This window comes from Homo sapiens, chromosome 10 (assembly GCF_000001405.40).
Source record: "Homo sapiens chromosome 10, GRCh38.p14 Primary Assembly".
Lineage (NCBI taxonomy): Eukaryota > Metazoa > Chordata > Mammalia > Primates > Hominidae > Homo > Homo sapiens.
Genome location: NC_000010.11, coordinates 61,790,906 through 61,803,781, shown reverse-complemented (window position 1 = coordinate 61,803,781; position 12,876 = coordinate 61,790,906). Strand labels below are relative to the sequence as shown.

Genomic DNA, 12,876 nt, shown 5'->3' with positions numbered 1-12,876 from the left:
AAGGGAATAGTGAGGTGAGATCATCTCAATGGGCAGAGCTTCATGGGCTACACTTGCTCTTCCACTTCGTGTAAGAAAAGAAGTGGCCCAAGGTAAGAATACACGCAGACACATTATCAGCAGCAGATGCTTGGATTGGTTGGACAGAGGCCTCGGAGCAGGAAGATTAGAGGCTGGAGGACAAGATCTGGGGAAGAAGTATGTCAGCGGACTTGTAGAAAGGGACAGTATGCCTGAAGACCTTTGCATCACATGTTAACCCTCACCTACAAGCATTCTCCGTAAAAATGGCACTAGCAACCAAGTGTCTTCTTATTGTGAAATCTTGGCCTTTGGCCAATAGGTTGGCTGGCTTATCATTTGATTTTAAGGTTATTTGCTATGACTCCAGAGAGAACTTTTTTGACCACCTTAACAAAGGGCTTTCCCTCACTGCTCTATCACATCACCTTTATTTTTATTGTTCTTACATAAAATAATTTTGTTTATAGCATGTTATCTATGGCTTTGATTAGTCTCCAACCATGGAAAAGGGGTATCTTTGTCCCATTCATCACTTTATCTCCTATGCTGAGAACAATTCCTAACACAGAGTCTGCATTCATTATATACTTGTTGAATGAAGGCATAGAAGCAAACAAGGTCAGGTAAAGCCATACAGCTAATAAGTGTTAGAAATGAGGTTTGAATCCAGGTCCAGAGTGCTAGCTTTGTGACTTTGGACAAGAGACTAAACATCTGTCTTTGTGCCTTAGTGTCTTCATTCCTGTATGCAGGAATGATAATAGTATCTATCTATAGGTTATTGTGAGGATTAAAGGAGTTTGTATACAGAAGTATTTAGAATAGTGTCTGGCACATATTTGGCATGGTAGAAGTGTTTGCTGTTATCAGGTAGTGGAAATGTGATTGAACTTGGGTCTGATTGGCTCGTCAGCTTTGGTAGACCCTCGAAGTGGCATTTTTGAGGGTACTGGGAACTTGTAGGAAAAGGAACAGTGACTGATAAAAGGAAAGGATAGATAATTGTAAAGTTACCTTTATAATCCCACCATTCCTGTGTGTTGAGTATGTAATCTACACAAAGCAAAGTGTTGGGCACTATGGGAAACTCAAAGACAGCTACAATATGAGCTCTGTCTTCAAACAGGTCTTGCCCTAGGTCACAATTCCTTATAGCCACATCATTGAGTCTCAGGTCACTGGGGCAGTGCTGAGGCAGGAAGTGTCCTTCTCCAGGGCCGAGGATAAATAGCTATTGACACCTGCTGCCATCTCACCTGGTGTATATACTTTCCCAGTCCAGTTGTATGAGAACATCTGTAGAAAACCTGTGAAGCCTTCCTCTGACATTGACTCCAACTTCATTTTGACTTGTGTCACTGAACTTGTTCTCTAGCCCACCATAGGTCTTGTCTGAGAAAGAAGGGTAGCCTTCCTGAGAACCTTAACCTGACCACTTTGGGCTTGACTTCTGGACTTCTGAGCACAAAGGACTTTGAGTACTGGTTTAGGAGGAATTGGTGGGCCAGGACCGCTTGGGTTTATACCACTGGCTGATGGAAGCCTGTGGCCACGTTTTCACTCTTAACACTGAAAACTTTACCCGAGTTACTCTTCGGTGAATTGTATTTAACTTTGCCTAGTAGTTTGTGCCAGCATAGTTTACTGCATACTATAGTGAGTGCTGAGCTTATATTTATTGCATAATTTAACTGTTAAGTTTTATCATTTGGGTTGAACTTCATGCATCAAGGTAAATAACAAGGTCCATTATGTCTTAATTTTGTAGATTCGTTCATTGCTACAGGCACAGTGGATTCTGTGTGTCTGACAGTGGCGGCTGATTTTAACATAGGATGCTAGGAGAGTCCTTGCTTTGCTAATATTAGAAATAGGGTCTTTTCTAATGTGAATATGTGTGAAAAATTCTGATTCAACAACTTACATTGCTCTTCTTTTTGCTGCTGGCAATGTATTGTTGGCGTCTCCTTTGCTCTTGGTCTCAGGAAAGTTTATATGTTGTTTTAATAGCATGTGTATATAATGCCCATTAGTACTAATGGGATGTATTCTTTCATCAGGACATAATCGCCGACAGCATGCAAATCAGCACATTTGTTCTTCTTCAACGTTTGCTGAAGGCTCTGTTCTTGGGCAACATATGGTCTCCAGTCACCTCCTCACTTTGCTCTGAAAATTTTCCATTACACATCTTAATCACCAATTTTTCCTCTCTGTTTGAGAAATGAATTAAGGCAATACAAATTGGAATGACGACCACTTTTAGATTGAAAAGAACCTTTCTTTTGGCTGCCAAAACCTAGTGTTACATTTTTATTTTTCATTTTTTTCATTTATTTTTTTACATCACTAATTAGCTCCTCAAAATGGTTTTTATGTCTGGCATGCACGGGGTGTGAACTATAAAAATTATAGTTTCTAAGCTTTTTTTGCTCTGTTCTCTGGAAAAAATTTCCTTTATCAAGCAATTTCATAGGCACAGGGGATAGTAGTTTAAGATGCATCATGGACAGCATTTATTCAGACAGTCAAAGTAATTTTAGAAAATGATAACAGCTAATCTGATGAATACCCAGAAAGAAGAAATTAATATTGAAAGAGCACCTACTATGTGTCAGACACTATATATCACTTATTTTTTTTAATAGAGAAGGCATCTAAAATAACTGGCCCAGATTTATTCATTCATTTGAACATGACTCTTTTACACACACACACACACACACACACAATTACAGATTTCTACTTTATTCTAGGTGTTGTGCTAGGCACTGAGAATAGCATAATGAGCGTAATAGGCTTGGTTCCTGCTCTTATGGGGTTTACAATCTAATTGTGAGGACAGATAAAATATAGTGAAACAAAGAAATAAATCAACAAAAAACAAATGATTGGTAAACACTCCAAAAGGCTATAAATAGGATGTGGAAATAGAGGATAACTGGGGTTCAGTGTAGAAGGCCCTCCTTTGATCTTGAATGCCATACTGCAAGTAGGGACAAGAGGCTTGATACAAATCCAAGTTTGTCTGCTCACCTGCACCGGCTGAGCAGCTCCCTTCTGAGTTTTGATCATCTCTATGATTGCTAAAAGTTCCTGAGTCCCTACTATGTGACAGGCCTTATTCAATTTTGTGTGTTGCTTTAGCTACCTTATGAAGTGGGAATAATTTTTTCCCTTATTTTGCAGATGAGAAAACTGAGACTTAAGAAAAATCTGCAACTTGCTCAAAGTGACAGTGCCATTTTCTTGTCAGTTCCAATGCTCATGTTCTTAATAGAGAGATTTTGCAGCCACTCTTTTTTCCCAGGGCCCAAGGGTTTTTACTGTGCTCCTTGGGAACAGACACTTAGGCAATGCGGACTGGCTTATGCGACATTCTCTCTCTCTCTCTTGCTCTAAAATAAAATAATAAAATAAAATAAAATAAACCACCCTCAACCCCCAGCAAAAAAAAAAAAGAAAAAAAAAAAAGCAACAAAAACCCCCAAACCATTCATGCCTAGATGCTGTGAGTGAAGAATAAAATATATTTTGAATGGTGCTTTACTTCTTTAAAAGCAGCATATATTTTTTAGATTAAAAAAGTGATATGTGTTTATTATAAGCAATTTGAAAAATAAGAAAGAATAAAAAAAATGTAAAGGCAAGAATAAAAATCACTTAAAGTTCTACCACCTGGAAAGGGCAGTATTTTGGTTCTTTGAAGTATTTTTTGAATGTATAGTAGCAAAGATGACTGACCCTTATGTAGCACTTACTATTTGCCAGGTGTAATTCCACACACTGTACATATATTAACTCATATCCATGGTAGCCTTACATAGAGGGTATTATTATTATCCCAATTTAATTGATGAGAAATGTGAAGTAAAGAGTGATTAAAGTAACTTTCCCAAGACCACAAGGTCAAACCTACTTAAACCACACAGCTTGGTTCTGGAGCCCATGCTACTCTTCTCCTATCTCACTTCTCTCTATAAAATGTATATTCACATTATCTATCTATCTATCTATCTATCTATCTTAAAAACCTGAAATCAAATTTTACTTACAATTTTATTATTTTTATTTTTATTTATATTTTTTTGAAACAGGGTCCTGCTCTGTCCCCCAGGCTGGAGTGCAGTGGCGCGATCTCAGTTCACTGCAGTTTCAACCTCCCTAGGCTCAAGGGTTCCTCCCATCTCAGCCTCCTGAGTAGCTGGGATTACAGGTGTGGGCCACACCCAGCTAATTTTTGTATTTTTTATAGAGACAGAATTTCACAATGTTGCCCAGTCTGGTCTTGAACTCCATGGGCTGAAGTGATCCTCCCTCCTCAGCTTCCCAAAGTGCTGGGATTACGGGCATCAGCCACTGCGCCTGGCTATATTTTACATACAATTTTATATTCTTTTTTTTTAACATAACATTATTCAGTGGGCATTCTTTCAATATCCTTAAACGTTCTTTAAAATATTTCTAATGACCATATAGACATATTTTATGTAGGAATCCCCACCATTGCACAGTTAAGTTGTTTCTGATTTTTGTTATTATAAAAAATGATGTGGCCAGGCCAGGTGGCCCATGCCTGCAATTCCAGTGTTTGGGAGGCCAAGACAGAAAGACTGCTTGAGGCCAGGAGTTCAAGACCAACCTAGGCAACATAGCTAGACCCCATCTCTAAAAAAATAAAAAATTAGCTGGGTGTGGTGGTGCACTCCTGTAGTCCTAGCTACTTGGCAGGCTGAGGACCTGTCTTTTAAAAAAATTCAGTGAATGTCCATGTTTGTAAATCTTTGATCAGCTTTTTGATTATTTACTCAGGACAGATTCCTGGAAGAGGATGACTTGCTCAGTATTTTGGCATTTGTTCAAATCTTTGGTGGAGTGGAAAAAGGGTTCAGATGTGTGGCACAGATTTATATAACATAGAAACTCAGGAAAGTTAGAGATCTGAGCAAGCAGAGGAAAAAAAAATCATGGAAGCCTTCTTTGAGGAGGTGGGGCAGAGCATGAGCTGACCTTGGACAATGGGAGCCTGCTAGGGAAGGGCAATTCTCCAAGACTCTTGATGCCCTTTTTCTATAAGTCAGTTGACACAGGCACTGAGCTGGTAAGACAAGACTTCATTGAGCAGAGTCTTAAAGGACAGAAAGGAATTTCCAAGGCTGACAAGGATGTGAGGGGAAGAGGTAAGTGGGCCTCTTAGGTGGTGGGAACCACGTAGGCAGGCCCAGATGTAGAGATGTGAGAGAACCTGGAGGGCTTTGAGTTGATGCGGGGAGGGTTTGAGAGATGCTTAGTAGAAGCAGGCGGGGGCTAGATGGAACCTCATAAGGCCCAGCACATCATTTTAAGGATGATGGATTTTTAAATGTAGGCAATGGATAGTTGCTGAAGACTTTGAGCTCAAAGAGAGATGTGATGACATTTGCATTTCTGATAGACCACTGTGGGGCCAGGGAGTAGACAAAGACAGAGGAAGACCCTTGTGGGAGGATGTTTTGGGGACCTGGAGGAGAACGCTGCCCCGACACAGGCCTGCTTCCAGTTGCTGTGCCCACAGCAGGGCCCACAGCCATCTTCATCATTCCTCATGCCTGGAGGAGTACAGACCGAATATTTATAAAATACCGACATGGAAATGAAAGAGCTGCAGAAACAAAGAGCACAAACATTTCCTCTATTTTGTTGAGAGTTAACATCCATGAGGAATATGCGTGTATGTCAGAGCAGAAAATAATGAGGCAATATACTTCCTTAAACAGATTCAGTTCATCATCGCTGGGGCCTGCGCAGGGGAGGATGGTTGGGGGCACCTTCCGTTGTCGGTGTGGCGGCTCCTTTCCGAGCAGACAGGTCACTCAGTGCTTTCTTCCGGGCAATTATTTTCGAGATGACTGGAGATTTCGATCAACCAATCAAGCTTTTATAGAAGCCACTTTCCTTGATTATGTTCCTGATCTTTAACTCAGGGAGAGATTTTCCTCAGTATGGCTTGACAGCCTCAAGTTTTCAATTAATTTCTCTCTCCTGCATCTTGCTTTTGCTTTCAGCTGGGCAGCTGGCATGTTCACAGGCTCATGTGAGCTCCTGACATGGGGTGTGTGTGTGTGTGTGTGTGTGCACGCAAGTGCATGTGTGTGCACGCGAGTGCATGTGCGTGCTTTGAAGGCATCAGAAATCTCTTTCTGGCCTTCGATGAAAAATGTCCTGTCAAAGAGCAGAGGGACTTGTGAGCAGGAAGCTGGATGAACAAGGGGAGTAGAAAAGAGGCACTGTGGATGTGGAGGATCCTGATGCCTGGGGTGGCTGCATTCAGGACCAGCCCAGGGATATGTAGAATAAGGCAGCATGGATCAGTGCTTTCAAATGCAGGAGCCATATCCCTGCTTCCAAATATACTGACAAATATTTTGAATCATAATCAACACATATGTATTCTAGTGTGATTTATTCCACATAAATGGTTGCTTTTCTTTCAAAATAAAATAATTTGAATAATATATAAATGACTTAAAGGTAGGTATAGTTATACTTAAGGTATATATAATCTATAATAACTTGCATAATATTTAAATGACTTAAAGTTTTGGCAAATACTAATTCAGATGTTATGTGAAAGTTGGTGAAACTCTTGAAGGTGGCACATGTATTTCTTAAGATGAGGAGACCCTGGTGTTATGGAAAGAATTTTAGAGTCAGAGAGACATGGATAAAATCCAAGATCTGCCTGTTACTAAATGTGTGCCTGTGGGAAAATTACTTAATTGCTAGACCTCAGTTTGTTAGTCTGTAGAATGGGCATTTAAAACCCACCTTTCAATGTTGCTGCGGGGTCTGGAGATTCATTCATGTATTCATGCAACCTTGAGATATTAACTGTCTGTTATGTGCCATTCACTGCTCTGGGCACAGGGAATACAGCAGTGAATCAAAGTTCCTGTCCTCATGGAGCTCTCATTCTAATGGGGGAGACAGACAATAAATATATAGATAGTTACATAAGAAACTACGAAGTACTGTGAAAAATACATCAGAGTAAGGGAGAGGTTATAGGAAAGCCTCTGAGACAGGAGTGTGGTAGAGATGTTTGAGGAAAACCAAGGTGGTTACAGTGTGGTAAGAATGAACAGGGAAAGGGAGAAAGGAAGAAATGAGGTGAAACAGGTAGTCAGGTGCCAGGGCAGAGAGTGCCTGGTAGACTAAGGTGAACCTTGGGTTTTACTTTAACTGTTGATAGAAGAAGATGATCAAAAGGTGGTATCTATTAAAAATGACATATTCAATTAATATTAGAATAGTTTTATACCTTGTGCCCAAGCTGTGCAGAGCACCACATTAGGCTCCTAGGTTTGGGGCATACCAAGATAACCTGGACAGAGGAGCTCAAATTCTCGTTGGGGGAACAGTAGACTCTAATGAATTAGTATCTGACATTCATTAAGTACTTGCTATGTGCCAGGCACAGTTCCAAGTTTTCCTTTAATGGAGTAGCTTGTGTAGTCCTTATGAAACAAAAGTACAGTATATAGTCAGTTATTATCCCTATTTTACAGTTGAGGAAACTGAGGCACAGAGAGACTTACCATTATACATACTGCCTCTCAACTTCCAAAGAAAGCAGAGTGGTCTAACGGTGCTTCCCTTGAGGTTGGAAGTGCAGTGGGAGCACAGAACAAACATTACCCCGAAGAGGGATGCCGTAGCCATGGGACTGCAGATGCTCTGGAGGGAAGCCGCCCCTCCTAACTGTGACAAACATTTTGCCTCTCCTCTCTGTGCTTCAGTTTCCTCATCCATAAAATGGGATCAGCAGAGGGTATCCATTCTATAGGCTAGGCATGATGATGAGATGAGACAGTGGATAGGAAATGCTTTTGCACAGAGCCTGCCACATGGCAAGTGTCATTTAAGTCTTAGCAATACACCTACAAGAGATTAGGGAGCACTTTATGAACTGGCTCTCCTGGGCCTGGCCTTGAGGCATGAGGAAGACTTTAACAGAAAGCAAAGGTAGAGAAGTAATTTTAAGTTGATGGGGAATATTTCTGGAAATTAATAGAGTGTTGAAAGTGCATGGTGTGGCTGGAGCATGCGACTTGTGGTGGGTGAGGGTATAGCAGATAATTCTATCAGCCTGTGACATTGAGGAGACCTGAACTGCCATCGGAAGAGCAGTGGAGCAGTCTGTGAGGGGTGCCGTAACAAGATACCACAGACTGGGTGCTTAAGAAACAGACATTTATTCTTACAGTTCTGGAGGCTGGAAGTCCAAGACCAAGGTCTTAGCAGGGTTGGTTTTCTCTGAGGCCTCTCTCCTGGGCTTGCAAGTGGCCACCTTCTCACTGTGTCTTCCTGTGGTCATTCCCTGGGTCAGCGTGTTTTCTGTGTCTTAATCTTTTCTCCTTATAGAGACACCAGTCCTATTGGACTAGGGCCCATCCGTATGACCTCATTTTATTTTGATTACCTCTTTGAAGGCCCTATCTCCAAGTCCAGTCATATTTTGAGGTACTGGGGGCTAGAACTTCAGCATATGGATTTGGGGGGGTGCATAATTCAGCCCACAAGAGACAATTCAGCATGGTGGGGGTGGGGGCTGTGATGTGCCCCATGCTGTCATAGACATGTCCAGCAAGAGCAGGAGCAGAAGAGAACACTTTCCCAGGTGGCAGGTCCTCCAAGTCTGACTTGCACAATGGAGAGAGGGTGGAGAAGAAGGTGAGGGATGAGACATTTCAGGGGTGGAACCTACAGGGCTTGGATGCTGATTTCTCTGACTCCTTGGAGCTATACAGAAATAAACACAAAAGCAAGAAAATCCAGATTTGCCTTACCCTGGCCTCTTTCTCTGTCCCCCAGGGATGAGTCTACTTATAGCTCCTTAGTTTTCCCATCTGTTAAGTGGGAAAAATAAAACCAGGATCTCATGGCTCCCAATGGGATATAGTCATATGTTACCGTAGCACTGAGACTTTGTACAAATGCAGACTGGTTTCGTTCTCCCTGCTAATAAACTGTCTTTCTACCAGAATACAGTACCAACAAACTTATATTTTCTGGGTATCAGAAAGCAATGGTTTGGGTTTGAGCTATTCACTCACTTATGATCTGAGCTTATTCTAAAAAGACTTTGCAGCTTAGTCTAATTGGGTAATTGGGATGTTTCCAGATGAAATTCAACTTGTAGTTTTAAAAAAATGCTTTGAAGAACTGGTTGCCATGGCGCTTTTCTGCTGACAAGATCCTTCACTGGCTCCCACTAAGCAGCAATAATGGGCTTCTGTTTATTCTGTTTCAGGTTACCCCACCTGAACATCCTCCTGGGAGGAAGCAGGGCATGAATCCGAAGGAATTAGTGAAGTCCTTCCATAGCCATCCTTGATGGTGGAGCGGGGGTGTGTCTCAGCAAAAAGGTTTGTCATTGCAGGGGCTGGAGGGCTTAGACCTAGTAGTGGCCCAGCTGTCGTGCTGGGGCTTCCCAGACCACTTCACTCCTGGGCAGCTGGGAGTTGAGGAAGAAACCACTGTGCATTTGTCACTGTATAAACCAGATGGCTGCTTCAGGATATGAACACTAATCCCCTCATATTTGTGGGCAAATGAGTGTCTGGCAGAGAGAATTGCCCTTATTTTAAGAAATAACATGGTCTTAAAAATTAATATTCATGTTTTTATAGTATCACTGTTTTAAATTTGAGAAGGTCTTTGTTCAAAGTCAATTTTTCAACCTATTGGACACCATTCTTACCCCTCATCCTTAGAGTTCTTGTACCCGAGTGTTTATTGTTAGAATGTGAAACATCTGCCCCAGATGCAGTATTTTTGGCCTCATTAAGAGTTTTTCTAGTTCCTCTTCAGTTATGTCAATATTTACCTTGGACAATGCTTTGTATCCTTTTGTTTATAATTCCAGAATTCTCCAAGACAAACTGATTATTCATGACTCTCTGGCCTGGGTTACAATTTAAACATACCTTATGTTGATGTTTTAAGAATATAAGTCCCCCAAACTATTTCTACTACTTCTCCTAGATTCATACTTCATAATCTTTCATTCTCACTTCATACCCTATATTTTTCCTCCTTCCAGGTATCTTCCAAACATATCCTTTTTTTTTTGTGGATTATATTCTTAGAACGTGAGATGCAAAATTTTCCTCCTTTCCCTTTAAAATCCCACAATCCCGGCTGGGCGTTGTGGCTCACACCTGTAATCCCAGCACTTTGGGAGGCCATGGCAGGTGGATCATCTGAGGTCAGGAGTTCAAGACCAGCCTGGCCAACATGATGAAACCCTGTCTCTACTAAAAATACAAAAAATTAGCTGGGTGTGGTGGCATCACCTGTAATCCCAGCTACTTAGGAGGCTGAAGCAGGAGAGTCACTTGAACTCAGTAGGTGGAGGTTGCAGTGAGCCGAGATCACGCCATTGCACTCCAGCCTGGGCAACAAGAGTAAAATTCCATCTCAAAAAAAAAAAAAAAAAAAAATCCCAGGATCCCTCTCTCCTGCCAAGGATGTTTTTATAACAGTGCATTGTACCCACATTCTTTGAACACTTCCATTGTTTTCCTAGAGAGCACACTTTTCCACACTGCCTGCTCCCTCTTATTACATTTCTGATCACTGATATAAAAGACACATGACTCCTGTGTGTGTTTAACCTCACACAATGAGTATAAGGAAGCTTAGTGGGTAAATAGACATCAGAAAGCTCAAGCATGTTTTTCTCAAGTGACCCAATTATACAGAGCCAGTCATCTTTCCTTAATCATGCAGGATTTATGAATCTACATAATAGTTTTAGTTCTTGACGTGTGCCTTGGAGTTGTAGATGACTTTAAATTTACTATTTTACCTATATTATTACATTTGATCCTTATAACAACATTATGAGAGACCCCCAGAGGATTCAAGTAACCTGTTTAAGATTACATTGTAAGTGGAATAAGAATAGTTTTTGCCCTTAAGAATGTTTATATTAATAAACTATTTGAGTTTATACAAGTCTTTCTGTTCCTCTAAAATACTATACTGTTTCTTGATTTGGGAGACATTGCTTGTGCTGTTTCCTTTGCTTGAACTACCTAACTTCTCTCTTTGATTAGACAAACTCTTACCCATTTTTCAAACCTCAACTTCAAGTTCATTTCCTCTAGAAGCATTTCCTGATCTCCCAAGGCTGGGCTAGGATTCCTTTCTCTGTGTTTGGTAACACCCTTAAAATTATGTAAATAAATTCATCACAGTGTCTGCCACCTAATGATAAATATTAGTTGTGATGTCATTCCTTATCCTATCTTTTATCATACTTTATACATCTTGCTTGCCATTGTATCCCCAGTAACTAGGTCTGGGGAGGTGCACAATAGTTGTTGAATGAATGAGCAATGCACTATGAGTCTTCTAGTTGATGTAGTCTTGGGTCTTTGAACTGAAGAGCAAATGCCGGAGATGGCACTGAGATTGTCTAGAGAATTTTAGGCATTTCCAAGTCTAATCCACAGACTGCCATCTGAGTGTTGGTAGCTAAAATGGTTATCTGTTGTTTGTCTGCCCAACACCCTTTTCCCTTATTTTGCCATCACTCTCTCACTTTTCCTTTGGGGACTGTCCCCTTCCTCTCTTTTGATCAGTGCTGTTCAGGTGGGGCTTCCAACACCTCTTGAACAGGAATAGGTCTAATAAGCACATTCCATCCCCTAGGTGCAGTGTAAAACTTATGGATGGCATTCAACCCAAACTGGGCTGATGCGCGTAACCCTTGGACTTCTGCTGAAACTTTTAGAGGAGAGGATCTGTTTTTTTTCTTTCTAAGATTGCAAGCAACAGAAACAAGCCTGGAACTACAGGTTCTTTGGGAATTTGTGAAGAGATCAGTGAATCCAACACAGAACATCCAGAGCCAGGAGATGGTGATAGAGTGAAGGCATAATGAAGACATCATTTGAGTATCTGGGATTCAGTAGTACCTGAAGCAAGATTGAATTTCCAAGTTTATGAACTGATAGGTTCCCTTTCTGGTTGCAACTAGTTTGAGTTGCATTTTTGTCAGTCACCAATAGCTGATAGTGTTCTGACTAACTCAGTTGGAAACAAAATATCATGGTATTTTTATTATTGTCATTAGGGCTTTTTGTCCCTTTGTGGATTTGCCTTATGCTTTCACTTTTTCATATGTGTTTTGCATCCATGCAACTTGTCTTAAATAGTTAATCATGAACCAAGTAAGCAAGCATATTTTTGACTTACTTTTCCCAAGTCCAGTGTCATGTGACAGGCTCATTGGATGTCCCCCAGTTCATATTTGAGCTGAGTACATGCTTGGGATTCTTTTTCTGGGAATGGTTATGACTTTACCCAGATTCATCTTTCACCCTCTCACACTCTGCCTGTTGGACTCCTGGGGTAAACTGTGGGAGAGTGAATTCGCTGGGATCTCGGAGGGTGACCTGTGATCTCAGAGTAATGTAAGCAAACTCCTGAGCCTGTGGTGTCAGAGCCTCAGAGCTGAACCTAACTGAGCTTTGCATCCAGATCTGGGCAGACAAGGCCTTCAAACTCTCTTTGGAGAAACTTCATGCCCCCTTAGGGAGGTGCAGAATCAAAAGGAATTGCAGCCTATTTGGTTTTCATGGTTGGTGGACACTGGTCTCTAAGTGCTATGGTGACTTCATGCATGGGCTTCTTTGTCCTATGAACTGAAGGATGGATACATCCCTTTTTGCCACAAGCCCTCTATGAAATGGCAATGAAGCTCCCTATGGTGCTTGTTTACCATAATCAATAGATGAATCAATTGCTTTCTATACCTGATTCAAGGAAGTAATTAAAGCAGGGAGGCAGAGGTATCATTAA

General features: G+C 41.2%; 1 long non-coding RNA gene across 8 annotated transcripts in view; it reads left to right on the top strand.

The window, feature by feature from the left end:
- The window catches only part of LINC02625 (long intergenic non-protein coding RNA 2625), an 89,240-nt gene that overhangs the window by 64,164 nt on the left and 12,200 nt on the right, over positions 1-12,876 (top strand). For all 8 annotated transcript variants that reach the window (XR_001747461.2, XR_001747458.2, XR_001747460.2 and 5 more), the window contains exon 3: positions 9,317-9,431. This is a non-coding gene — a long non-coding RNA (long intergenic non-protein coding RNA 2625). The remainder of the gene's footprint in view (positions 1-9,316; positions 9,432-12,876) is intronic.